This window comes from Homo sapiens, chromosome 8 (genome assembly GCF_000001405.40).
Source record: "Homo sapiens chromosome 8, GRCh38.p14 Primary Assembly".
Taxonomy (NCBI): Eukaryota; Metazoa; Chordata; class Mammalia; order Primates; family Hominidae; genus Homo; species Homo sapiens.
Window position 1 is genome coordinate 94766144 of NC_000008.11, and position 27846 is coordinate 94793989.

A 27846-nucleotide genomic window follows, 5' to 3' on the forward strand; every position below is an offset into this window, starting at 1 on the left:
GTTGTTGATCACCTGAGGTCAGGAGTTTGAGGCCAGCTTGGCCAACATAGTGAAACCTCGTCTCTACTAAAAATACAAAAAATTAGCTGGGCGTGGTGGCTTGCGCCTGTAATCCCAGCTACTTGGGAGGCTGAGGCAGGAGAATTGCTTGAACCCGGGAGGCAGAGGTTGCAGTGAGCCAAGATCGTGCCATTGCACTCCAGCCTGGGCAACAAGAGTGAAACTCTGTCTCAAAAAAAAAGAAAAAAGAAATGTTCTTACTACGCCATTGTAGTTTATGCTTCAGCATAAGGTCATGGGATTGATTTATGTCAGTAAATCTCCTTGCTTCATAGTCATACCGTATATTATTTATTCATATTTTTGTTTTGTAGTCTTGTTGTGTTTTCTGTCTCTAGTATTGGGGAAAGCATATGTTTGTAAGCATAGCTAATATTTCTTTGTTTAACTGGTGTTTTTCTCTTCTAGATGTTTGTCCCACACAAAGAAAATGGGCACATGCTGAAATTCCTTGAAGTAAAATTTGGACTAAATATGACCAAGTAAGTTTTAGATTATGTAAGTTTACCTAAATCGATACCACTTAGAAAATAAAGATAAAAAATACTCGATGGCCGGGCATAGTGGCTCACATCTGTAATCCCAGCACTTTAGGAGGCCGAGGTGGGTGGATTGTGACCACTTGAGTCCAGGAGTTTGAGACCAGTCTGGGCAACATGGCAAAACCCCATCTCTAAAAAAAAGACAACCAAACAAACAAACAAAAAACAAAAAAAATTAGCTGGGTGTGGTGGTGCATGCCTGTGGTTCCAGCTATTCAGGAAGCTGAGGTGGGAGGACCACCTGAGCCTGGGAGGTGGAGGTCATAGTGAGCCAAGATCACGCCAGTGCACCCCAGCCTGGGCAACGGTGAGACCCTGTCTAAAAAAAAAAAAAAAAAAATACCACTTAGAATGTATTTGCCATATTGTTAAATTTTAACATTTTGTTCTAAACCCAGTGATTTGAAGTAGACATTCTCAGTCCATCACTGAGCATTCCTGAACATCACTCCATCTCTAACATCTTTTCCCACGGCTAGGGATTGAGGATTGGAGTTTAGAGATGGATGAGAAATGAGAATGCAGATAAACATATATACAACCAGGAGTCTTTTTTTTTTTTTTTTGAGATGGAGTCTTACTCTGTTGCCCAGGCTGGAGTGCAGTGGCACGATCTCGGCTCACTGCAAGCTCCGCCTCCTGGGTTCATGCTATTCTCCTGCCTCAGCCCCCCGAGTAGCTGGGACTACAGGCACCCGCTACCATGCCCGGCTAATTTTTTGTATTTTTAGTAGAGACGGGGTTTCACTGTGTTAGTCAGGATGGCCTCGATCTCCTGACTCGTGATCTGCCCGCCTCGGCCTCCCAAAGTGCTGGGATTACAGGCGTGAGCCACCTTGCCTGGCTCAACGAGGAGTCTTGTTGATCATACTTAGAGTTGAAAAATGTTTATCCTGATTCATACTGCTCAAAAGGTTTACATTTCAGATTTTATGATTTATCTTAATAAGTAGGTATCTCTTTTTAAAATGGGTCCTAGTTGAATTACATTTGTCAATATACAGTAGGTCTATCCAATAATAATATGTGAACCACTTATGTAATTGTAATTTTCTAGTAGCTGTATTTTAAAAAATACAAAGAAACAAGTGAAATTAATTTTAATATATTTTCTCTAATATATAAAAATAATTTGTAAACAATGTAAAAATTATTAAGGAGATATTTTGTTTTTCAAATCATTATTTCGCTCTTTTTTTCTTTGAAATCCTGGGTGTATTTTGTACTTAAAGTATGTCTCAATTTGAATTGGCCACATTTCAGCTGTTTAAAAACTGCATGTCTCTAGTAGCTACCATATTCAACAATGCATTTGTAGAGGTTAGCCGGCCGAATTGTTTGTTGTCTTCTAGATAAAGATAGAAACCAAAATTCCCTAAAAGCTATATTGGGCTTTAGAGATGGTCACGTTACTTGGTAATAAAAAGCAGCAGTTTTACATTTATTAGAGCAGTTTTGGTGAGAGCACATGCTTTGTTTACTAATATGATACTATTATCTTCATTTATAAAGGATAGTACCTTGCTAATATAAGTAAACGGGTTTAGGAAATGTGTTTTTTCTTAGTTTTTGCTGATATTAAAAAAAATACTTCTGTGTTCAGTTTAAAACGTCTATGAATTTAATATCATACTTTTTGTCTTCTATAGGAATTTTACAATGAATTGGCTCCTCTGTCAAGAATCCCTGCAGGCACCATCTCAAGATTTTTTTCTGCGATTGACACAGTCTTCTTTATTACCTTTCTACATTCTAGTGTTAATTATTTGTTTTCTTTCTATGTTGCAAGTTATTTTTAGGAGGATTAAGTAAGTACCTATGAGAATCAATCATATTACTAACATAAATTATGGAAATATATAAAATACTTATTTTTAATATTCTTCCAAGATTTCTGTATTTGTTTTAGAGCTTCTATTTCCATTCTCTTTTCATTGACATGGAAAATATCATTATAAGATGTGTTGGCCAGGTGCGGTGGCTCATGCCTATAATCCCAGCACTTTGGGAGGCCGAAGCGGGCAGATCGCAAGGTTGGGAGTTTGAGACCAGCCGGTCCAATATGGTGAAACCCCATCTCTACTAAAAGTACATAAATTAGCTGGGCGTGATGGGTGCCCATCTAATAATAGCTGGGTGCGCCTGTAATCCCAGCTACTCGGGAAGCTGAGGCAGGAGAATCGCTTGAACCCGGGAGGCAGAGGTTGTGAGCCGAGATTGCACCACTGCACTCCAGCCTGGGCGACAGAGTGAGACTCCCTCTCTAAAAAAAAAAAAAAGTTGTATTGACCAGAAAAATTTAAACTTAGTTTTTTTGTTTTTTTTTTTTTTTTGAGACGGAGTCTTGCTCTTGTTCCCCAGGCTGGAGTGCAGTGGCACGATCTCGGCTCACCACAACCTCCACCTCCTGGGTTCAAGCGATTCTCCTACCTCAGCCTCCCGAGTAGCTGGGATGACAGGCATGCGCTGCCACACCCAGCTAATTTTGTATTTTTAGTAGAGATGGGGTTTCTCCATGTTGGTCAGGTTGGTCTCAAACTCCCGACCTCAAGGTGATCCACCCGTCTTGGCCTCCCAAAGTGCTGGGATTACAGGTGTGAGCCACCATGCTCAGCCCTAAACTTAGTTTTATATATCTAAATAGGTAATGTCCAGATTTAATATAGTTAGAGACTTAATATATAACTGATATTTAAATAATCAGTTAAACTTTTACAGACTGATTCACTAATTTATACAAATTTTTACTTAACGTAAGAATAATTTCTTCTATTTAACTTAAATGAAGTTAGCAGTATAAGTAATTTTAAATTATAAAGTTTGAGGCCAGGTGCAGTGGCTTATGCCTGTAATTCCAACAATTTGAGAGGCTGACGCAGGAGGATTGCTTGAGGCCAGGAGCTGAACACCAGCCTGGGCAACATAGTGAGACCCCCGTCTCTTAAAGAAAAAGAAAAAAAAAAGCTATAAAGTTTGACTAACCTTTGATGTTTTTATCATGTTTGAAACGTGGTTGTATATAATTTCTTCATTTTAAGAATTTAGTTATTCAAATTATCATTTAACTATATTAATTTAGCAATTGCTAATTGATTCATAATTGATCTTGGAAGAAGAACCTACAAATCTTTATTATTCTTTTCTTTTTTTTTTTTTTTTTGAGACAGAGTCTTACTCTGTCACTCAGGCTGGAGTGCAGTGGCGTGATCTTGGCTCACTGCAACCTCTACCTCCCAGGTTCAAGCGATTCTCTTGCCTCAACCTCCGGAGTAGCTAAGATTACAGGCATGTGCCACCATGCCCGGCTAATTTTTATATTTTAATAGAGATGGGGTTTCATCATGTTGGCCAGGCTGGTCTCGAACTCTTGACCTCAAGTGATCTGCCCACCTTGGCCTCCCAAAGTTCTGGGATTACAGGCGTAAGTCACTGCCCCTAACCCTTTTTTATTTTGCTGAAAATTCATGTTTAGTCTTCATAGAGTTTGTTGTCTTCAGGTTCTAAAAGCCATTCGCAGAAACTTAGAGACATATGTTAGGTATTTAACTAGCAGAATATACTTTCAAATTTTAAAAGATCACCTATATTTTTTGTTATGACGAAATATAAAATTTTAGGTATGTCCTTCAAAGATGATAAACAATGTATCTTTGGTTTTTTACAAATACATTTTCAAAGTATTAAAAAATACATTTTCTTTTTGTAGTGGTAAGTCCCTGAAGGAAACTGTTACTCTTGAAGATGGACGAATTGGAGAAAGACCAGAAATAATTTATCATGTAATTCACACTATTTTATTGGGTTCTCTTGCAATGGTTATAGAAGGGTAAGTGTACTTTATTTGATCCCTTTGTTTTAACAAAGATTGTTGGCTGAGTGCGGTGACTCACACCTGTAATCCCAGCACTTTGGGAGGCCAAGGCGGGTGGCTCACCTGAGTTCAGGAGTTTGAGACAGTGTGACTCTGTCAACACTCAACATGGTGAGACTCCGTCTCTACTAAAAATACAAAAATTAGCTGGGTGTGGTAGCTACTGGGGAGGCTGAGGTGGCAGGATCTCTCGAACCTGGGAGGTAGAAGTTGCAATGAGCCGAGATTGCGCCACTGCACTCTAGCCTGAGTGACAGAACAAGACCCCGTCAAAAAAAAAAGTCAGAAAACCCACAAAGATTGTCTTTTTTTTTTTTTTTTAGAATCTCGCTCTGTCACCCAGGCTGGAGTGCAGTGGTGCAATCTCAGCTCACTTCAACCTCCGCCTCCCAGGTTCAAGCAATTCTCCTGTCTCAGCCTCCTAAGTAGCCGGGATTACAGGCGTGCGCCACTGCACCTGGCTAATTTTTTTGTATTTTTAGTAGAGACAGGGTTTCACCACATTGGTCAGGCTGGTCTTGAACTCCTCACCTCGTTATCTGCCCACCTTGGCCTCCCAAAGTGTTGGGATTACAGGCGTGAGCCACCGCACCCAGCAAAGATTGTCTTTTTTAATGGTAATAAGTAGATACATCCAAGAATGCATTCATAAAACTTCATAAAAACTCAAAACCTATAAACTTTCTTAATTTATCTGGAGTTTACAAAGGTGTTTATATTATAATGAACTGACATTTACTTATTCATTCATTTGTTAAAAAACTATTGAACATATTCCAAGTTCTAGGCATTGTGCTAGGTGCTAAAGGTACCTCAATAAGCAATAGTGGAACAGACAGTCTCTAACCTTATTTAACTTATGGCCTAATGGAGGTGACAGATGTCAATCATACAAAAATAAAATTACAACTTTGGTAAGTGAAGGAGATGTACATGGTGCTATAAGAACATATAAAACAGAATTTGACTTAAAGAGATCAGAAAAGTTCTCTAAGGAAAAAGTGCCTGAGACCTGAAGGGTGAGTAGGAGTGGACTAGGTGAACCAAAGAGGCAAGAGTACTGCAGGTAGAGGGAATGGCATATGCCCAGGCCTGGGCAGGAAGGATCATGGCACATTGTTGGCGGGAGGAAAAGGAGTTCAGTCTGGCTGAAACACAGGGAGCATGTGGCAGGCTTTGTTGAGGACTTTGGAGTTTTCCCTTTTATCCTTTCCTTACCTTATTTCTTTTATTGTCTTTCAATGGCAAATGACATTTACAAAATATATATATAGGGCCCCATTTAATGTTCAATAAGGTAGAATTTTTATATTTCACTTGCTTGATCATTTTAGTGTTCTGTATACCTTAAATTTGTTAAGGCAAAATAGGTATTCACATGTTAATATTTAGATAAGTTATGTAATAATTTTTTAGGGAGTTTGAATCCTTGAAACATATCTTGCACTATTTATTTTTAAGTCTTTAGTTTTTAAACTTCCCTTGTTCCTGCTTCTATAGAAAATCATGCCATCTTGTTAATAAACTTTATTAAAATGTATTCATTCTGCACAAGTTTTTAGTTTTTTCATACTCTTTTAGCAATAGTGGGAGATATAGCTATATACATGATAGGATCCCCCTTCCTCAGAAGCACACAGTCTAGGAATGTGTGCTTGGTCAGAATGCAATGGTCAGAAATTCCTAAGACCATCCTTACTTCTGTCACCAACTGCAAGTTTGAGAGTCCCCCAAACTACCCTCAGGCTTGATAACTAACAAGGACTCACAGAACTTAGGAAAGTCATACTCAAGTTACAGTTGGTTACAGTGAAAAGACACAGATTAAAATCAGCAGAGGAAAGAGACCCATAGGACAAGGTCCAGGAGACACCAAAGCACAGAACTACCATTTGTTCCCTCCCAGTGGAATCGTGCAGACAGCACCTGTTTTCCTCTCAGAAACGATGTGTGACAGTACACACGGAGTACTGTCAATCAGGGAAGCTCACCCATGCTTTGTGTTTAGGGTTTGTATTGGGGCTCAGTCATATATATGTGGTTGACCACCTGTGTGGCTGACCTTAGCCTTCAGCCCTTCACAGGTTGAACTGACACCACATGCTCCAAGGCTCCCACCATAAATCACACTGTTAGCATAGACTCTTATGCATGACCCAAAGGACCCAGGCAAATGAAGATGCTCTTATCAGGCAAGAGGTTACCTCCTAGGAGTTGAGGGCAAAGGCCAAATCTCTTTTTAGGCAAGGTTAATCCTTTACTGCACAATAAGTAAGATGCATGGGAATAAATTTCATAAAAGGCAATATATGAGGCCAGGCATGGTGGCTCATGCCTGTAATCCTAGGATTTTGGGGGCCTGAGGCGAGCGGATCACTTGAGGTCAGGAGTTTGAAACCAGCCTGGCCAACATGGTGAAACCCCGTCTTTATTAAAAATACAAAAAAATTAGCTGGGTGTGGTGGCAGGCACCTGTAATCCCAGCTACTTGGGAGGCTAAGGCAGGAGAATCGCTTGAACCCGGGAGGCGGAGATTGCAGTGAGCCAAGATCGTGCCACTGCACTCCAACCTGGGCAACAGGGTGAGACTCCGTATCAAAAAAAAAAAAAAAAAAGGCAATATATGAAATCCTTTGCATATTAAAGTTAATTATTCTTAAGTTGTAATTCATATAGGAGCATCTTATCTTTCTTTAATAGAGGAAAGAAGAAAATGTTACCATCTTTAGAAGTTTGGAGCTTTAAATTCTTCAATTAGGTTACTTGTGTACAAACTAAATGTTTAATAGAATTGAAGATTATTATATTTAAGTTTTTGGTTTTTGTTTTTGTTTTTTGAAACAGAGTCTTTGTCGCCCAGGCTGGAGTGTAGTGGCGTGATCTTGGCTCACTGCAACCTCTGCCTCCCAGTTCAAGCGATTCTCCTGCCTCAGCCTCCCAAGTAGCTGGGATTACAGGCATGCGCCACCACGCCCGGCTGATTTTGTATTTTGAGTAGAGATGGGGTTTCTTCATGTTGGTCAGGCTGGTCTTGAACTCTTGACCTCAGGTGATCCGCCTGACTCAGCCTCCCAAAGTGCTAGGATTACAGGCATGAGCCACTGTGCCTGGCCTTGTTTTTGTGTTTTTGAGAGACAGGCTGGGTGTGGCGGCTTACGCCTATAATCCCAGCAATTTGGGAGACGGAGGCAGATGATCACTTGAGCCCAAGAGTTTGAAACCAACTTGGGCAACATGGCAAGACCCCATCTCTACAAAAAAAAAAAAAAAAAGCCAGGCATGGTGGCATGCGTCTGTGGTCCCAGCCACTATGGAGGCTGAGGTGGATGGATTGCTTCAGCCTGGGAGTTTTAGGCCACAGTGAGCCATGATCACACCACTGCACTCCAATCTGTGTGACAGAGTGAGGCTGTGTCTTTAGTTAAAAAAAAAAAAAAAAAAAAAAAAGACAGGGTCTCGTTCTGTCGCCCAGACTGGAGTGCGGTGGTGCCATCACAGCTCACTGTGCTCTCGAACTCCCAGGCTCAAGCAGTGCTCCCACGATATCCTTCCAACTAGTTGGGACCACAGACTGGTGTCACCATGCCTGGCTAATATTTTTTAAAGTTTTTGTAGAGATGAAGTCTCACCATGTTGCCCAGGCTGGTCTTAAACTCCTGGGCTCAAGCCATCCTCCCACCTCAACCTCCCAAAGTGTTGGGATTATAGGCATGAGCCCCTGTGCCCAGCTACATTTAAGTTTTTTTAAAATTATGATAAAGAAGTACATAACATAAAATCTACCATCTTAATGTTTTTTAAGTATACAATTCAGCAGTGTTTAGTATATTCACACATTGTTGTACAACAGATCTGCAGAACATTTTCATCTTGTAAATCTAAAACTGTGTATCAATGAACAACTCTCGTTTTTTTCCCTACCCTCAACCTCTAATAATCACCATTTGACTTTCCACTTCTTTCTTTTTTTTTTTTTTTTGAGATGGAGTTTCACCTTGTTGCCCAGGCTAGAGTGCAATGCTGTGATCTTGGCTCACCGCAACCTCCACCTCCTGGATTCAAGCGATTCTCCTGCCTCAGCCTCCTGAGTAACTGGGATTACAGACATGCACCACCATGCCCAGCTAATTTTGTATTTTTAGTAAAGATGGGGTTTCTCCATGTTGGTCAGGCTGGACTCAAACTCCCAACCTCAGGTGATCTGCCCGCCTCGGCCCCCCAAAGTGCTGGGATTACAGCCATGAGCCACCGCGCCCAGCCTTTATTTTCCATTTCTATGAATTTGTTTACTTTAGATACCTCATGTAAGTGGAATCCTGTAGTGTTTATCTTTTTGTGACTGGCTTATTTCACTTAATGTCACGTCATCAAATTTCATCTATGTTGTAAGATGACAGGATTTTCTTCTTTTTCAAGGCTAAAAAATATTTCACTGTGGATACAAGGGGTCTTCAAAAAGTTCATGAAAAATGCATATTGTGAAAAAACTATGCATGTATTCCAATTTTTTTGTGTGTGCCAAAACCATTGTGCCCCTAGATCAGCTGCAAACAAGAGCAGAGCTTTCCTTTTTTTTTTTTGAGACAGGGTCCTGTTCTCTTGCCGAGGCTGGAGGCGCCATCTCGACTCACTGTAACCTCCACCTCCCAGGTTCAAGCTATTCTCCTGCCTCAGCCTCCAGAGTAGCTGGGATTACAGGCATGTGCCACCACGCCTGGCTAAATTTTGTATTTTTATTAGAGATGGGGTTTCACCTTGTTGGCCAGGCTGGTCTTAAACTCCTGACCTCAGTTGTTCCACCCGCCTCAGCCTCCCAAAGTGCTGGGATTACAGGTGTGAGCCACTGCACCCAGCCTCTTAATTTTTAAAAACTAAAAAAAGAAATTCTTTTGTAGAGACAGGGTCTAATTGTGTTGCCCAGGCTAGTCGTGAACATCTGGCTTCAAATGATCCTACTGTCTTGGCCTCCCAAAGTGTTGGGATGACAGGCATGTGCCACTGTACCCAGGGATATTTCTTCATTTTCTCCATTCCATGGCTTTGCTGTTTTATAAAACCACAGAGGTTAACATTTATACTCTAGGCCCAGATTCTTCCAGTCTCTTCCGAGTTTGACACCAGGGAATATATCATAGAAGGGTCTGGTTGTTCTCCTTAGTATTTATTACAAAAGTTATCCCTTGAAATGTTATTTTTTTTCTTGATAATCTATACTAAGCACTGATATCTATTAATTTTTCTAAACTTTTCCTCTTCCATTTTTAGCAGTTAGCATCTCCTACGGAGATGGGCTCCTTTTGTTTTCTTTAAAATCTACAACATAATGTATTTTCTTCTAATGATACAAGTTAATTTTTTCTGTACACCTGGATTTTTAATCTTTTTAATTTAAGAGTTCAATTTTTAAATCTTTTTTTTTTTTTTTTTTTTTTTTGAGATGGAGTCTCCCTGTGTTGCCCAAGCTGGAGTGCAATGGCACAATCTTGGCTCACTGCAAGCTCTGCCTCCCGGGTTCATGCCATTCTCCTGCCTCAGCCTCCCGAGTAGCTGGGACTACAGGCGCCCACCACCATGCCCAGCTAATTTTTTGCATTTTTAATAGAGACGGGGTTTCACCGTGTTGCCCAGGCTGGTCTGAAACTCCTGACCTCAGGTGATCCACTGCCTCGGCCTCTTAATTTGCTGGGATTACAGGCGAGAGCCACCGCACATGGCCAGATTTTTGTATTTTTAGTAGAGACGAGGTTTCACCATGTTGGCCAGGATGGTCTCAAACTGCTGACCTCAAGTGATCTGCCCATCTCAGCCTCCCAAAGTCCTGAGATTACAGGTGTGAGCCACTGCACCCAGCCCCAGGTGTTATTTTTGCTTGGGCCATATATCTACATTAAAAAAAAAAAAGCAAAAATTAGGTTAACATTGCACATGAAGTTTTGCATTTTGCTTTTTATAATAATTTATTTAATCAATACCTATTGAAGAACAGAAGTTTTTTTTGTTGTTGTTGTTGTTTTTCCAATTTTCTTGCTAGTAAAACAAAATGCTATAGTTAAAACTCTTGTGTGTGGCCAGGTGCGGTGGCTCATGCCTGTAATCTCAGCACTTTGGGAGGCCAAGGCGGGTGGATCACTTGAGGTCAGGAATTTGAGACCAGCCTGGCCAACACGGTGAAACCTGGTCTCTACTAAAAATGCAGAAATTAGCTGGGCGTGGTGGCATGTGCCTGTAATTCCAGCTACTTGGGAGGCTGAGGCAGGAGAATCACTTGAACCCAGAAGGCGGGGGTTGCAGTGAGCCAAGATCACAACCACTGTACTCTAGCCTGGGCGACAGTGAGACTCCGCTTCAAAAAAAAAAAAAAAACCCTTGTATGTCTATCTTTATACTCTTATGCTAATATATTTTTAGGCTACATTACTAGAAATGGCATTGTCTATCTTAGAGTTTTTTTGTTTTGTTTTGTTTTTTTAAGACAGAGTCTCGCTTTTCACCCAGGCTGGAGTACAGTGGTGCGATCTCAGCTCACTGCAACCTCTGCCTCCCAGGCTTAGGTGATCCTCCTGCCTCAGCCTCCCAAGTAGCTGGGACCACAGGCATGTGTCACCATGCCTGGCTAATTTTTGTAGTTTTGGTAGAGACAGGGTTTCACTGTGTTGCCCAGGCTGGTCCCAAACTCCTGGCCTCAAGTGATCCACCCACCTCAGCCTCCCAAAGTGCTGGGATTACAGGCATAAGCCACCACTCCCAGTCCACCAAATTGCCTTCTGAAAGAGCTGTCATAGCTTATATTCTCTCCAAGAATACAATTTTCCTGCATCCTCATCAGTATTAATGCTTTTATTTTATCCTAATTTGCTAGCCCACATGTCTGCTTGATTTTTAAAAAACTGGATAACAATCTGTTGCTGAAAATTAGAGTCTAAGCTTTTTCACTGTCCCTTAGCATTTTGGTATTTTCGTGAGTAGTAGGAAAGAGCTCAGAGAACAAAAATTAGATAATAATGATGTTCACAGGATGTCTCATGTATGACTCCATTTGTGTTTTCTAGCTTGAAGTACATCTGGATTCCTTATGTGTGCATGTTAGCAGCATTTGGTGTATGTTCTCCCGAACTTTGGATGACACTTTTCAAGTGGCTTCGATTAAGAACTGTACACCCAATATTGTTGGTGAGTCATTATTTTGCATTGTTTCTCTTCTAATTATATAAAATCAAATGCTAATAAATGGAAACTACATTGAATACAATTGAAATAGCATGAGTAAATTACATGATGACTTACAGGTAGAAAAACAGATCCTGCGCAAAACATTTTTAAAAATAATTTCTGGGCTGGACGCGGTGGCTCACGCTTGTAATCCAAGCACTTTGGGAGGCTGAAGTGGGTGGATCACTTGAGGCCAGGAGTTCGAGACCAGTCTGGCCAACATGGTAAAACCCTGTCTCTACTTAAAATACAAAAAAAAATTAGCTGGGCATGGTGGCGCATGCCTGTAGTCCCTGCTACTCAAGAGGCTGAGAATTGAGAATTGGTTGAACCCAGGAGGCAGAGGTTGCAGTGAGCCAAAATCTCACCACTGCACTACAGCCTGGGCAACAGAGCAAGACTTTGTCTCAAAAAAAAAAAATTCTGATTATCAAAGTAATGCATTTTAATGCATACAACTTAAAAAATAAAAGATAAAAATGTACGTGAATCAGTAATGTGAGAGGTCATCAAGAATCAATTTTTATGATATCTTTCTTGGTTTGATTTAGAACTATGGTATATTTTCTATGTGAATGGAACATTACATTCTGCCTGCTATGTGCTTGGGATACAAAGATAATTATAGCACACTTAATTTCATCAAGTGGATTATAATCTCTGGGTGTAAAAACAGATAATAAGAATTCGGCCCTCTGTCCCCTGCTCCCTCCGCTTCCACTTTCTTCAACCTGCCAGCTCTTCCTTCTTTCCCTGTCCTGCCTCCTAAAAAACAAAAATAAATTTTCATAGGGTGCTGTTAGAACATAGGGAAGGGCTACTCAATTCTGTTTTTCTTTTTCTTTCTTTTTTTTTTCTTTTAGGGACTCAAATAAGGCTTTCCAATCTGAGATTGGAAATATATTTAGTTATTAGGCAAATGAAGGGGAAAGAAAGGGTATTCATGGTAGAAGGAATAGACACAGAAGTAGGCAAAGAACATGATGTAATCAAAGGGACTGGGAAAAAAGCACAATATATTTAGTTTTCTTGGCACATAAAGTGTGAGGTAGGTAGGGGTGGTCAAGAAATGAGACTGGAGAAGTGGAGGAAGGTGAGGCCATGGGGTCCCTGGGTGTCATGCTGCGGAGCTGGCTCTCATGCTGTCAGCAGTGGGAAGAAATTGGGATGTGTCTGCCTCATGCAAAGTGAGAGAGTCAGACTTACATTTTCTATTTGCTCACTCTTACATTTCTGTGAAGGATAGTCCTACAGGCAACAGACTTCAGTCACAGAGGAGGCCAGAGTGGCTAGAAGTAATTGAAGCTTCAATTTATTGAATGTTCACTATGTCAGGTACTGTTTGAAGCATTTCACATGCTATTTAATCCTAGATTTTCTCTGTTTTATAGATTAAAAAAAAAAAACCAAGGCTTTAATTGTTTAAATAACTTACTTGAGATTACCAAGTTTGTAAGTATGGAAATCATGATTCACACCCAGGATTTTCTTTTCTCTTTTTTTTTTTTTCTTTTTGAGACAGAGTCTTACGGTGTCTCCCAGGCTGGAGTGCAGTGGCACAGTCATAGTTCACTTTAGCCTTAAACTCCTGGGCTTAAGCAATCCTCCTGCCTCATCCTCCTGAGTAGCTGGGACTTCAGGCACACGCCACCATGCCCAGCTAATTAAAACTTTTTTTTTTTTTGTAGAGACAGGGTCTCACTATGTTGCCCAGGCTGGTCTCAAACTCCTGGACTCAAGCAATCCTCCCACCTTGGCCCCCAAGTTCTGGAATTATAGGTGTGAGCTACCGCACCCAGCCATGCCCAGGTTTTTCTGACTCAAAAGCCCATTTGATTAATAGTATGCCAGATTGGAATGAAAAAAGTAGTTAGAAGATCAGTAAGCCTCACTGCTTATTAAGTATGGGGAAATGAGGAAGAGGGAGATAACTTAGATGTTTCCTGGGTTTCTGGTTGGTATGACTGGATCACAGGGTCACTAAAAGACATGGGACAGAAGGCAGAGCAGGTTTTATTATAGCAGGATGATGATACATTATCTTTAATAATACTTATGTTGTATTTTGCCAGTCTTATTTCAAGGAGAGTTTATATGTTCTTATTTTAACAGACTAGTATACTGATGTATATTAGCTATTTTTCTTGTGTTAATTCATTGTTTTTTTTGTTGTTAGCTTTTCATGTAGTAGTGTACTATCCTTTGTAAGATCTGTATAACATAAATTTCTGGCAAATTTTTCAAGTATCCACTTGCCATTTGAAATATTATTATGAGCATTACCTTTTTAATGTTCTGCCTTAAATTTTTATAGTAAATGTTTATGTCTCACTTTACTTCCAGCTTAATATCTTTGAAAGTCATTAGTTTTCACCCATCTCATTCTGTGAACTAGGTTCTATGTTGACTTCATTTTTTTTGAAATTTGTATAACTATAGAGATATATGATTGGTCATAGAATCAGTGTCTATTACCTCTAACGTGTGTTCTGAAATGTATTTATTTGTAATCCTTTTTGCTTTAATATTTTAGGCTCTTATTCTGAGCATGGCCGTGCCTACTATAATAGGTCTCAGCTTATGGAAAGAGGTAAAAAAATTAGATTTTTATATTAATAAAATGTACTTTATCTACAAAGGTAGTGATAAATTTATATGTGTGGGTAGGAAACATGTTGAGACACTATCCTAACAAAATAAAATGTAACATTCTTAGTAATGCTTAATTTTTTTTGTTATTAGGAACATTGCAGAAGAGCTAAAACATTTCTAGAATGCCACCTGATGCCATTTTCTGCAGTCTAATGCTAGTGTTAATTCAGTTTATAATTGGCAAAGGAAATTGCTGAGTAAATAGGAATTAATATTAAAACACGTTTTGGTAACTCCAAAACTTTATCATCTATGAAATGATATAAATTCTGCAAATTATTGGACCTGAAAATTTATTTATTTATTTAGTATGTATGTGCCTGAAAGATGATCAATTTATTATTGTTTGGTAATGATAAAATTATTTATTGAGTCAAAGCAGTGAATTAACCATAAAATAGATGATTTGGATTGAGAAAAATAAGCAGGCCATTGAAGGAAAGCAAAGAGATCCATCATGACATTTTTTCCATGCGAACGGTGTTGTAATATCATTTGCCTTAAGTTAGTCTGTTAGTCTTTTGAAATACTGTGGAACAGTTTTAAACTTTCTAATTACTGACATACATCTTTTGGGGATTTTTTTTTTTTTTTTTTGCATTTTAGTTTTTTCCCAGATTAATGACAGAATTAATGGAACTACAGGAATTCTATGACCCAGATACAGTGGAACTTATGACCTGGATAAAGTAAGGATTGAAGTGCCCAAGACTATTATTAAGCTATTAATTAATCACTGCATGCTATCTAATGAATTCACAGGAAATAATAAATTAATACTTCTCCAAATTTTTTCATAAAACTCAGGCGTTTTAGGGATATTTAGATTTTGGTTGGACTTAGTGATACTAATTTTCCGCTCATCTCCATGGGCTTGAAAATATAGCATTGGTCGGTATAAGATTTGAAACTGCCATTGTCAAACACTTAGAAATATGGGATAAAAAAGAAGAGATATCCTTTTATTTAGATACTCAAGAGGATGCTTATTTTGCCCTGTGTTGGAGGTGAATTGTCAGTGGATTATTAGTTTTGATAACCAGGGGTTTTAGATTTTAATGCCCACACAGGACAGGAGATGTGGTCTTAGGCCTATGGAAGCAGGGAATTGGAATTGAGAACCCCCCAACACACACATGTGTAACTCAGGGACCCTCAAAAGGCTACACTGGCAGTGAAAGGATAGAAGAGCAAAATACCTAGTCAGTGAAAGGATGGAGTAGCAAGATACCAAGGGGTAGAGAAAGAAGATGAGAAAGCAGATCTCTCTTGCATTCATCTCTTGGTCAAAAAAATTCTCCCCTCTCAATTTATAGCAATGGATCTGAATTCATGTGGTTTTATAGTTCGAAATTATACTTGGCTAATGTAATTTGAAATTATGCTTGTCTAATCTAAGAAATCCCAAATTAAGAAATTAACATTAAAAGTGGTTTGGGGTTGGTCTGGAATGGGTGACAAATCCTCAACCCATGTTATACAGGATTCCATAAGTAAAGTTTCATAAAGGTAAGCTCTGAAATTATAAAACACATAAACAGCTCAATGCAGTGTGCGATAAACAGCAGAATTAGACCTCTAGCTATTTCTGATAATAAAATTTATGTCATTTAGGGTTTGCTACATAACAGAATGCCACAAAACTTAGTGGCTTACAAACAATAAACATTTGTTATTCCACACCATCTTGAGAATTAGCAGGGTTAGGGTGCTGGGGAGGATTGTTTTGGTCTGGGCCAGCTCCACTGGGACTGGATAGTCTAGGGTTGGCTATGTGTCAGCTGAGGGGATCAAATTTACTTGGCCCTCTGTCTCTCATCATCTAGCAGGTTAACTTGGGCTTGTTTACAAGGTAGTTGTAGAATTCCCAAGAGCAGCAAAAGAGGGCAATTCTCAATGTCAAGCATGTTTTAAGTCACTGCTTACACGGTGCTTACTATTGTCCTATTGGCCAAAGCAAGTCACATGATTAATACTAGCATTCCCTCCAAGACCATGACCATAGGGAGAGGAATTACTGTGGCCATTTTTGTAACCAGTCTATTCCATGGATGGAAACTATGAAATAACTACATTGAAATTTATTAAAGACATAAAAGAAGATAAGAAAACATGAAAAAGTGATGAAATACTATCAAAAAAGACCAGAAAAATATGGGAAAAAAGACAAAAAGTGTTTCTAGAAATTTAAAATTGGTTTATAGAATAGGTATATAGAAACAAGAATAGATTTTATTATAATGTCTTGTTACTATAACATATCTTCTATTTTATACAAATAGTTTTCTTTAGATCACCCTTAACTATTACCCATTAATACTTTTTGTAAATTCTGTTTTCTATTGTTGAACACTGCCTTGTGTTATCATTAACAAAAGAGGAAGTTACATCTCTGTATGATTTACCACAGTATTTTCAAAGACAGCAAAGGCCCAAACAATTACCTATTGAATATTTATGTTACTGGGTACAATTACTGTGTTTTGTATCTGTTTCCTCACTATTGAGGACAGTGGCCATATATGCCATCTCTTTATTTCAATAGCCGGGCACTATCCCTGGCGCATAGAGGTGGGTGCTTAATGTTAAATTTAGACAGTGAATAAATAAGTGAATGTATTACAACAGCCCTTTGGGACCTGCTTGTAGGTTTTCCACTTTGCAAGTAGCATCTGTCTGGGACTTGGGATAATGATTCAGAGTGGAGGAGTCCTATATGTTCTGCCTGGAGACAGACACATGGGTAAAGACAGTGAAGGAGCAGGAGGAGAGGTGGATTTGGAAGAAGCTGGGTTGTAGGTGGTTAATTTGCAAAAGATGGAGTTGAGAATTCACAGTATCATCACTGAACTAGCCACCTTATCTAAAATAATATATTCTTGTTACTATCCCCTTACTCTGCATTATTTTTAATCATATTATTACCACCCAATATATGTGTTTACTTCTTATTGTCTTCCCCCTGCTCCCTCTTTTTAGAAAAGTTTCTATATCTTCAGCACAAGTGTCTGCTGCATAGTTAGGTGCCCAATTTTTTTGAATGAATCCATGAATGAAATGAAATGAAAACTGGCATTGAAACTGAAATGTGTAAACATTGTAAGTTGTCTGGTATTTCAGAGTTGATATAGATCAGTGATCTAAATAGTATACTTGCCTTTTCAGTGTGCAAATCTTTATGGTTCTTTGCAGAAGGCAAGCTCCAGTTGCAGCTGTGTTTGCAGGGAGTCCACAGTTAATGGGTGCGATTAAATTATGCACTGGATGGATGGTGACAAGTTTGCCTCTTTACAATGATGATGATCTTCTCAAGAGAAATGAAAATGTAAGACATTTTAAATTCTACATTTGGATCTCTTTTCCAGCACTTTGTATTTTAGCATAGTCTGCAGTATACATATGCTTCTAGGTAGCTAGGAAAGTCCAAACAATTTTAGAAGAGTTAATTAACTTCCATTTTAAAAAACCTTTTTAATTAATAATACAGTTAACCAAGAGGAGACCCAAAATTAAAATACTAAGTTCTTTGTTTTATGAATAATACTGATATGTTTCTAGGAAAAATACTTAATTTTCCACAAAGTATCAAGGGACCTAATGTGTAATATTTTACCCAGGCTGGAATACAGTTGTGCAATCTCAGCTCACTGCAACCTCCGCTTCCTGGGTTCAAGCGATTCTCCTGCCTCCAAGCGATTCTCCTGCCTCAGCCTCCTGAGTAGCTAGGATTATAGGCACTCACCACCACAGCCGGCTAACATTTTTTTAATTCACCCAGGCTGGAGTACAGTGGCGCAATCTCGGCTCACTGCAACCTCTGCTTCCTGGGTTCAGGCGATTCTCCTGCCTCTGCCTCCTGAGTAGCTGGAATTACAGGCACCTGCCACCACAGCCAGCTAACGTTCTTTTTAAAATATTGTTCTCAATCAAATTTTTATTTTATTTTTTATTGTATTTATTTATTTTTTTGAGACAGAGTCTTGCTCTGTCACCCAGGCTGGAGTGCAATGGTGCGATCTTGGCTCACTGCAACCTCCACCTCCCGGGTTCAAGTGATTCTTCTGCCTCAGTCTCCCGAGTAGCTGGGATTACAGGCACCAGCCACCATGACCAGTTAATTTTTGTATTTTTTAATAGAGACAGGGTTTCACCATGTTGATCAGGCTGGTGGCAAACTCCTGACCTCAGGTGATCCACCTGCCTTGGCTTCCCAAAGTGCTGGGAATACAGGCGTGAGCCACCGTGCCCAGCCCTCAATCAAATTTTTAAAAGAAGGCTGTCAATTAATGTCTTGGTACTACATTTTGTCTTTCTCAGCTAAAGTTCTATTATTGCTTATAAAACACTAATTTATTTTTTAATAAATGGGCAGTTATTGACTCAGTATAACATTAGAATGGTATCTAATTAATTATAGTTTAGATAATGTCTTATTTTGAATGTTTGGTATGAATTTAAATGGTAACTTCATATCTGAAAGCAATGATCAACTGAACATGAGTTCCCAATATTCTGTTTTTCAATTTTAGATAATTTCATAGAGTTTTTAAGCATATTCTAAGTTAAGGAAGAAATACAGTAATATAGAGATTAAGAATGCAGACTCAGAAATTTGAGTACCTGAACCCAAATGCTAGCTCTGCTGTGTATTAGCTTCGTGACCTTAAGCGAGTTACTAAATCTCGAGATTAAGTGAGAATAATAGTTCTCACCTCCTACTTGTGAGAATTAAATGAGATAATGTACAATGCCTGAAACACAGTAAAATTTTAAAGTTTGCTATTATGTTATTATTCTGTACTATTAAGTGGTTGTTGCATGCATACACATATACATAGACACACACAAGGTACAAAGAGGAGTAAAAAAGCAGGAACAATCGAACAATTCCGCCTACAAAAGTCTAAGAAGTTGTCATAAAAGGCAGTCCCTTGATCTGGGCTTTGAAGAATGATTGGAAACTTGTTTGGAAAAGAAATATATATGATTCCAGGCTGAAAAAGTAACATGAGCCAAGGAATTTGTATAGTCTTGAAACTAGGAAAGAAAATGAGGCAGAATTCTGACAGACCTGGAATGTCATGCTGAAAAATTTAGACTTATCCTTGAGGCAGTTAAGAGACATGACTTTTAGTAAACCTGGCAGTCGAATGATTAGATCTGCTTTGGAGAGTTAATTATGGTCATGGCAGAAAGAACAGATTGAAGCAGGCAGGGGAGAGATCAGAGATGGGGAGATCTACCTGAGAATGATTTCCTTGAGAGACAGCAGCCATCTCTGATGAGTATTTGCTGCACCTCCAAAAGATAGAGTTGCTTAGGCAGAATATAGACAGCATATTCCTGAATTTTATTTTTTGTGGATTTAAAACAACAAACTCTGTGACTTTGTTTTCTTTGATTGGTCTTTTTCTAATATGGAATTTCAGAATTACTTGTAATTAGGTCAGAGTTCTATTTAGGTTCTAATTTAAACATTTTAGAGTTTTAAGTTTTATGTAACTTGTCTATGAGAATAGTAACCATGGTTTTTGAAACCTTTGTCTTTCTCTATGGTATGTAGCACATAGCAGGTATTGAGTAAATTTGTTGTTAAGCTAAAATCCAAACTGAACTCCATAAATGAGACCATATCATTTATTTATTTTTTAATTTTAATTTTTGTTGTTGTTGTTGTTGACGAGTCTCGCTCAGGCTGGAGTGCAGTGGCACAATCTCAGCTCACTGCAGCCTCCGCCTCCCAGGTTCAAACAGTTCTCCTGCCTCAACCTTCTGAGTAGCGGGGACTACAGGTGCACACCACCACGCCTGGCTAATTTTTTATGTTAGTAGAGACAGGGTTTCATCATGTTGCCCAGGCTGGTCTTGAACTCCTGAGCTCAGGCAATCCGCCTACCCCTGCCTCCCAAAGTGCTAGGATTACAGGAGTGAGCTACCATGCCCGGCCATTTATTTATTTATTTATTTATTTATTTTTAATTAATTTATTTTTTTGAGATAGAGTCTCACTCTGGTACGGTATGGATTTAAATGGTAACTTCATATCTGAAAGCAATGATGAACTGAACCTAAGTTCCCAATATTCTGTTTTTCAATTTTAGAGAATTTCGTAAAGGCTGGAGTGCAGTGGCATGATCTCGGCTCACTGCAACCTCCATCTCCCAGGTTTAAGCAATTCTCCTGCCTCAGACTCCCGAGTAGCTGGGACTACTGGTGCATGCCACCGCACCCAGCTAATTTTTGTATTTTTAGTAGAGATGGGGTTTTGCCATGTTAGCCAGGCTGGCCTCAAACTCCTGATCTCAAGTGATCCGCCTCCCTGGGTCTCCCAAAGTGCTGGGATTACAGGCGTGAGACACTGCGCCTGGCCAACCATATCATTTAAATTACACAGAGTCTCTAATTCATAATATGTGGCTAATCCTTATATAATCCCCTGGGCCAGTGATTCTTAACCTGGGAGAATTGTTCCCCGAGGGGACATTTGGCAGTGTCTGGAGACATTTTTGGTTGTCTCAATGTCATAACTGGAAGAGGGGTTCTACGAGCATCTTGTGGGTAGAGACCAGGAATGCTGATCTACATTGCAGAGAACATCCTCCCTTGTGTCCCAACAAAGAATGATCTGGCCTAAAATGTGAATAGTGCCAAGGTTGAGAAACTGTGCTGTAGGCTATCAGTAATGTTGTTACAATCGCATAGAAGTGGTTTTTTTTTAATGCCCCAATAGTATGTTTCAGTTTCTTAACACTTAAAAATAAATAAAATTGTAAATAACTATGAATAGGTATAGGCTAGATAGGATAGAACCATTCCCACTGAAACGTATTTAGTGTAGTGAAATGAGGGAGACACTTCCTCTTGATGTATTGGCATTCTGTGTGCCACAGAATGTTGAAGGTGGGTATTCCTAGCATGTCAGTGGACGTGGGAACTGAAGGTACTAGATAGGCAGCTATGGTGACAGGTAGGAGGCAGCTACTGGATATTCTGCAAATAGATTGGAATCTTATTCATTCTAGATTTCAAATCTCAGTATTTTCAGGACAAATAGTATATGATACTATGGGCCTAATATTTGTGGTTTTACTACTTTTTGAAGGATATCAAGAGTTGATCCAATATTAACATTTCAGAAAGACTGAAAAGCTTTATTATCTAATAAGATCCAGAGCTTATTATCTAATAAGTTCAGAAAAATTATAGTAAAAAGCACCACATAATCCAAACATGAGTTTTGATATATAGATGAATATTTACATTTATTTATAAAAATAAATATATTTTTCATATATAATCGTACTTAGAACACAGTAGATGCTTGATGTATAGTTTCAATTTACTGAAGTTTTAAATGTCCTTTAAATTTTATTTTAATTATATTCTTTCAGTTTTATTTTAATTATATTCTTTCAGATCTACCAAATCTATTCAAAGCGATCTGCTGAGGATATTTATAAAATACTGACATCTTACAAAGCTAATTACCTAATTGTAGAGGATGCTATCTGCAATGAGGTGGGACCCATGAGAGGCTGTAGGGTTAAAGATTTATTAGACATTGCAAATGGCCACGTAAGTAACCATTTGGAAAGTTATATATATGTATATATATATATTTTTTTTTTAGAAAAATGACTTTAAACTTATAATCTTTAAACTTTATTTTTAGAACTTAACTAAGAATATAATTGAGTTATGTAATAATGGGGAAAGCTTCTTAAAAGTAGTTTGGAGTATTTTTTCAACATACAAAAGAAAATCTGGGCATTTTTGCAAAAATAATAAAAAATAATAATGGTATTACCAATACTGGAATTCCTTATTCATTGCCTGTACTTATTCAGGTTTCAACATTCATAAACAAAAGATGGCATAATTTGATTTGAATGATGATTTTATTTTATTATAATAATCTAAAGAGCAACTGGTTACCTTGTTATATTCTTATGTTGAGAAATTTCTTGTAATTTGATTCATATCTAGAAAAATTGCATGCTAAATTAACACAGTGCCTGTACATTGAGTCCCTATTATCCACAAAAACGAATGTATTAAAAGCCATGTTAGTTGTTAGGACTTGGCTGTATCTTAATTTCTATATTGATTTCGGCTGTTTTACCAAGCTGTGTTTTCCACAAGAAGACCACCTAAGACTGACGCACGCGCGCGCGCATGTGTCTTCCCCCCCAGCCCCCATGGCCTTCCAATGAAGGCAGTGTGTATATCTGAGACTTAATGCTAGCTGGAATGGATTCTTGACTCCTGAGAAAGCTGGGAGTGAGGGATCATAAGAAAAGTTTAGTAAGTCATTGTAAGTGGTAGTAGATATACTATTCAGGTTGCAGCCAAGATTTTTTCTGTCTTTTCCTAAATAATCATAGCTCTTTGTCTTATCCAAGATCAGTTTGGAGGTAAGAAATTACTTTTTGTGATTTCTACTTATCTTTTCCTCATGACCCCTTAATCTTGTAATATAAACTTACTCTGTTTTATGGTACATGTATTTTGAATTTCTCTGTTGGTACTTAGTGGCTGTGATCTTTGGTTTACTGGTGACACAAATGGAATTTTATGAAGCCTCGGGTACAGTTTCAGTAATTGGTGCTGTCTTGCTATCTGCTCTCTGAAGCCTTTCTATTCTGCTCTGATACCCACTTTTCTGCTGTTTTGAAGATCAGCTTACTTCTCCTTTCATGTCATGCCTGGCATGGACTTAAGCTAATCCATCCTTTTAAAGTTGGCTATCTGACATCTTTCATAGCCATTAAAATATTACTTAATTTTTTTTATAAAAACTTCTTCAAGCTAACTAAGCTATCTTAGTGAACATCATTCGGTGAAATTGTAAAGGTCTGCACTAAGTCACGAAAGTTTCCTTGCTTACTAAATAATTCTACACGAGAAGAGTGAATATATTTAGGAATATAATATGTTCATTTCTCAGCCTTGGTAGGGTGCATGATAAGGTCTTCGGAGCGATGATAATGGATTATGGAAACACTGCCTTCTAAATTTTAGGATTAAATCTTTTAAAAATTGGAAACCTTTGTGCTGGTTTCTCAGTGTCAATGAGAAGTTCAGGAGTATAGTGGGCATGGTGACTCACTTATGAAGAAGGCTTCTATTTGCTAACAGTGAGATGTTTTATAGACAATGTTTAGCAATAATGTGTTTTTTCATATAAATATACTCATTTGTATATTGATTGCATTTCTGCTATAAGCTTAATAAGCTTTTTAATATTATGTTTTATATCTTTTAATAGATGGTTTGTGAAGAAGGTGACAAGCTAACCTACTCAAAATATGGGCGATTTTGTCATGAGGTCAAAATTAACTATTCTCCATATGTGAATTATTTCACTAGAGTATACTGGAACAGATCCTACTTTGTATATAAAATCAACACTGTGATATCCTTCCAGTCTTGAAAAATAACAGAGCCTTCATTTCAAAGACTACCTGAAGTAAAATGCAGTTTTCTTCTACCTACTCGGTGTCTTTTGCAGATCAGAGTATGGACATTTGAAATATTGCTGCTTCTTTCCCCCTTCTGCTGTTAACTGGATCCAGAGTTCTGTGGGAAATAGAAGATCAAGCATTACTGTCCTTTGATTAAATGTGATATCTACCACTCTGCAATATTCCAGACAGGTGTCTTCCTTACCGTTACATGGTCTTTAACACTTTTACTGATTGCAATATTTTCCCCATAAAATCTTCATTCTATTATAATATTGATCTTGAATTTGAATATGTGCAAGGTCAGATACATTTCTCAAACATAACATTTAATAAATAATGTGATATAATTATTTAATAGAAAGAATAATTCCGACCTTCAAGCAAGTTTCTGAAGGTATTTTATGATGTATAACAACTGAAGTTTTACAATAAAAACTAATTTAAATGTTAGCTGAAGATATGTGGCATTTAAATTAAAATGGAAATTATATAAAGGAAAGTGATTTTTAAGGATATACATAAAGATATATTTAGAATTTTCATGATACTGTTCTCCTCATCTACTGCTTATGTTAAGTGAGAACTTTCTTAGTAATACATAATGCATGATGTTACTGCATTTTCTAAATGACTAGTAAGTGATTAGTTTTTTCACTTATGCCTATTAATTTGATACCAATTTAATCATGATAAAACAATAACCGTTAACATATATTTTGTTAAATGGACATTTAAAAGAATGTTGTTCAGGTTTTTTTTTTAAATACTGATATGGGGCATACAATCTATTCACATGTTTTCTACTGAAGTACTAAGTAAAAAAATTAAATCATTATCAGAATAAAAATATGTGTTCTAAAATTAGCAACAATTTCTGGGGATACATGCAGATGTTGTTAAACGTACCTCTGCATACAGATATATTATAAAACACAAGCAATGTTATTTATGAAACTGTGATGCAGTCTTCAACATCAAGAAAAAATGACAACTATAATAAAATTTACAACACAGTTTCACAGTCTAAATGCTATGTTCCTTTAAGTATTTTCATATTTTTAATCATTTATTAAGAGAAAATTGTGAAAAGTTAATTTGGCCTTATAGAGAGATTCAGGATAGATGTAGCCTATAGATGTGTCATTTTAATAAGTTGGGATACATGTTTAGTTTTTCCTTATATTCCTGTTCAGTGAACAGATTTTCATAATTCTCACTTGTTAAAGTGCTGCAAAAATTGCATTTTCAGTACTCTAAATTACTACATTAGAAGAGAGCATTTCTCCATTGTCTTTATTTTCTGTTATATATGTGTTGTAAAAGTACACTACATTAGAAGGGAGCTTTTCCGTTGTCTTTATTTTCTGTTATACATGTGTTGTTAAAGTACATGCATTCTTAGACTAACTCTCAGATGCTTTGCTCTTTTGGAGCTGAAGAATTGTTTGATGGTGATGTCATATATCTGATAGATTAGTTTCAGTGGTTCTCATTTCACTTTTATACGTAATTTCTTAACTATATTAAGATAGTTGCAGGCAGTGTACCTCAGGTTGACTCTGTACATCTGAATAGTGAGTCACTAGTATTTTGCTTCAAGCCTTCTGAAAATATAACCATAGTTACCTAAGCACACAGTGAATAGTCACATGGTAGTACTTGTGATTAGAGCATGTAAAACAATGTAATTGAAAAGTCAGCTTCCATATTTTGTAGGGGAAATAGAACACCCTACTTTTTATCTAGTGTGAAATATTTAATCGAATTTTTGTTGATTTATATTATGTTACCTGTGCTGAATTAGGTTTGGTACTTGTGTTTTGTTTGACATATTAGTAAGTTGCTTTTGCTTCTTTCTGTCAACTTATTTTTTAAATAAAATTGATCTGGAAAAATTGTTAATGGGATGTTTTAAATAATGAATTTTTCATCCAGCATCAGTTGAAAAGGAAAAGAAAGCTTCATTATGGAAATGACAATATTGAATATGACAGATAAGTTTATTTGCTTCTGTTTTAACTGCAGTTAATAGTACTAGACAACTTTAAGTGGAAAGCATTTAGTTTATTTCTTCACTTATTTGTAGAGTGAACAAATGATTCACAATTCTACAAGTAATTCCACTTAGGTAACTTACAGTTGTTAGGTTTGACAATAAAGATCTACTATGAGAGGAGAAGAATTTATGGGTTTTGGGTGGAAGGAATTTCTCAAAGAAATAAAAAATGTTCTTTGCCCTTGATACTGCAAACCCACTGATACAAGTGCCTTGAATTTATTATTATTATTATTTTTTATTTTTTTGAGATGGAGTTTCACTCTTGTCTCCCAGGCTGGAGTGCAATGGCGCGATCTTGGCTCACTGCAACCTCCGCTCGCTGCAACCTCCGCCTCCCAGGTTCAAGTGATTCTCCTGCCTCAGCCTCCGGAGTAGCTGGGATTACAGGCACCTGCCACCAAGCACGGCTAATTTTTGTATTTTTAGTAGAAACGGGGTTTCGCCATGTTGGCCAGGCTGGTCTCGAACTCCTGACCTCAGATGATCCACTCACCCCAGCCTCCCAAAGTGCTGGGATTACAGACGTGAGCCACTGCGCCCGGCGCAAGTCTTTGTTAAAAGTAGAGATGGAGGCCAGGCGCAGTGGCTCACTCCTGTAATCCCAGCACTTTGGGAGGCTGAGGCAGGCAGATCACGAGGTCAGGAGATCGAGACCATCTTGGCTAACACGGTGAAACCCCGTCTCTACTGAAAATACAAAAAATTAGCCGGGCAGGGTGGCGGGCGCCTGTAGTCCCAGCTACTCCGAGGCTGAAGCAGGAGAATGGCGTCAAGCGGCGAGGCGGAGCTTGCGGTGAGCCGAGATCATGCCGCTGCACTCCAGCCTGGGCAACAGAGCAAGACTCCATCTCAAAAAGAAAAAAAAAGTAGAGATGGGATCTCTAGCCTCCTAAGTTAATTTAGCCTCCCAAATGCCAGACAAAGAATCTAACATAAAATTTACCTTGAATAAGATATATGATATTGATTCTGAGCTGCTTTGTATTTTTTCTGACTTTGGCATCTGTATCTTGGTGCTTTCTGTTAGACTGGTAGAGTTTAAGAACCTAAGGAGTATGCATTGTACTTCAGTGCTAACTTTTTTCTTCATTTACTTTCTGTGTATATAGGCAGCATATTTTTTTTGTAGAACATTAACCCAGATTGCTAATAGCTTCATGTTACGGCATTCTTCCACACAGTCCAGATTGATTTAAGGAAAAGCAGAAATGGAAGTCAAAGTGTGTTATAAATTGAGACTGAAAAACATGCTTTAAAAAATAGATTTAATTTCTTACACTGTGAATAGCCATTGTATTGTTTTGTTTCTGATAAATCAGTTGTTTTGGGCCCCTATTTTTGAACTGTTAAAAAATTTTGATGCTTTTCGTGGATAAAAGTAGTGCCTCTCTTTATACAACTGATGGGGTTTTAAAAAGTGTAAATTGCCTTTTTTGTTAAACTTATTTTAAATGCTTTAGTATTTAAAGGGTGTATGTTATTAATTAATCTGCATATTTGTAACGCAAATAACTACTTCCTGATTTACATCTCAATATATTCTTCTTTCATTTGCCCAATTTAAAAAATACGTAGTCTCTATTGTTGCTGTTTACTAATAGTTTTAGATCCCAATGTGTATTAGAATTATAGCTACAAAAAGTTGCAAGTAAAATTTAGCAATTTCCTATTCAAACAGGATCTCATTAGTATGTTTTTTAATGTGTAGAATTAACACTTTAAAATAAACAGGTGTGAAAATTATAAAGGAATATATATGACAATTATTTTCTGTACATTAATGTCTAAACATTATACTTACTTTTTCATAATAAAGGAAATTTTGGAACCAAATTTGCTGAGTTTAGCATAAAGGCGTCTTTGAATTATTTCTGAGTTTCCTAAAATGTGCAACATTTTAATCTTGGCATATCTAATCCTATGTGCTGTTCTGTAAGAGGTACACTGGACTTCTAACCACTATATGTATTTAGTAGAATAATGGTA

General features: G+C 37.8%; 1 protein-coding gene across 11 annotated transcripts in view; it reads left to right on the plus strand.

Moving 5' to 3' along the window:
- The window catches only part of DPY19L4 (dpy-19 like 4), a 73937-nt gene extending 46244 nt beyond the window's left edge, over positions 1-27693 (plus strand). For all 11 annotated transcript variants that reach the window (XM_005250894.5, XM_047421714.1, NM_181787.3 and 8 more), the window contains 9 exons: positions 469-542; positions 2252-2410; positions 4309-4428; positions 11523-11643; positions 14216-14272; positions 14941-15023; positions 17527-17659; positions 21751-21909; positions 23603-27693. In XM_005250894.5, coding sequence (XP_005250951.2) covers positions 469-542; positions 2252-2410; positions 4309-4428; positions 11523-11643; positions 14216-14272; positions 14941-15023; positions 17527-17659; positions 21751-21909; positions 23603-23767 — 1071 coding nt within the window. In that variant the 3' untranslated portion in view covers positions 23768-27693. The remainder of the gene's footprint in view (positions 1-468; positions 543-2251; positions 2411-4308; positions 4429-11522; positions 11644-14215; positions 14273-14940; positions 15024-17526; positions 17660-21750; positions 21910-23602) is intronic.
- Positions 27694-27846: the final 153 nt, after the last annotated feature.